Consider the following 1,216-nt stretch of genomic DNA (forward strand, 5'->3'; position numbering starts at 1 on the left):
AGCAAGCAGCTCTCCCTCAAAGTCATCCTGTGTGAGGTCAGCGTCCACATTTTCTGAACCAAACATCAGGATGCCTGGTTGGATATGTACAAATGTACTTAGGGAGATAGGAAATTATTCTAGTTGACATTATGACTTCTCTGGAAGATCTAGGACCCATGAATACTGTGTCCATAGAGGTCTCTAAATAGACAGAAATCTACTTTTCTCTGGTTTTTAAGTAATTCACTAAGGAATGCCAGTGGCAGGGAGGTGGGGTGGGGAATGAGGGTTCCCAATTGCCAGACAAAATCTGGAAGTAACTATTTATGATCTTATTTTAGGAGATGGCAATGGGAGTGTCTGTCTTCCAGGATTCTCAGGCTCACTGCAGTGAGCAGGAGGGACTGAGCTTTAATTTGCTGCCAATGGTTTTAATAATCCAGTATCTTTTATGGTGAGAACACACATGTGCACGTGCATATGTGTGCCCATGCTCACACACAGTCTTTTTTGGAACTTTGGAGGTAGAAGTCTTTTTCATGTGTACATCTGGAATTTTATTTAAGTTGGAATTTATCAAAGGCCTGCTCTGTGTTAGACTCTCTGCTAGGTACTGGGGATATTTTGGACCAAAAGTCAGATTTCAGCCCTACTCTTACATAGCTTTTGGTCTGGCATGAGAAAACACATATTAAATAAATAATTATAATAAATTTTGAGGGCTATTATGATGGAAGAAGTTCACAGGACTATACAAAGCTGTAGCAGGAGGAATTGGTATGGTTCAGAGGGCTGGTGAAGGCCCTTTCAGGAAGAATGCTTAGAATGATACCTGAAAGAAAAGTAAGCCAGAGAAAGCAAGGCATAGAGAGCAAGTAATAATGTTTTCGGGAGGTCTGGCTGGAGGAGTTATCTGAAAGAAGTCAAATAGAGATTCATTGATAAGTGAGTGAGAGAGAGTGGCAGGGATGGGGCTAGAAATGTGGGCAACAGGCCGATTGTAGAGGGTTGTATCGACTGTGTTAAGGAGTTTTGCCTTTGTCCTAAAAGAAATGAGAGACTACTAAGTGGAGAATAATGCGGTGAAGTAGGGTGTCATGGGGTAGGAGGAGGAAAGGACTAAGATAAGTTTAGAGAAGTGGCAGAGGACAGGTCCATGCTGACAATAAAGGCCATGGTGAGGAAGTTGGCTTTTATTCTCAGGCAATGGGAAGCCATTGAATAACTATTATCT

This window comes from Homo sapiens, chromosome 6, assembly GCF_000001405.40.
Source record: "Homo sapiens chromosome 6, GRCh38.p14 Primary Assembly".
Lineage (NCBI taxonomy): Eukaryota > Metazoa > Chordata > Mammalia > Primates > Hominidae > Homo > Homo sapiens.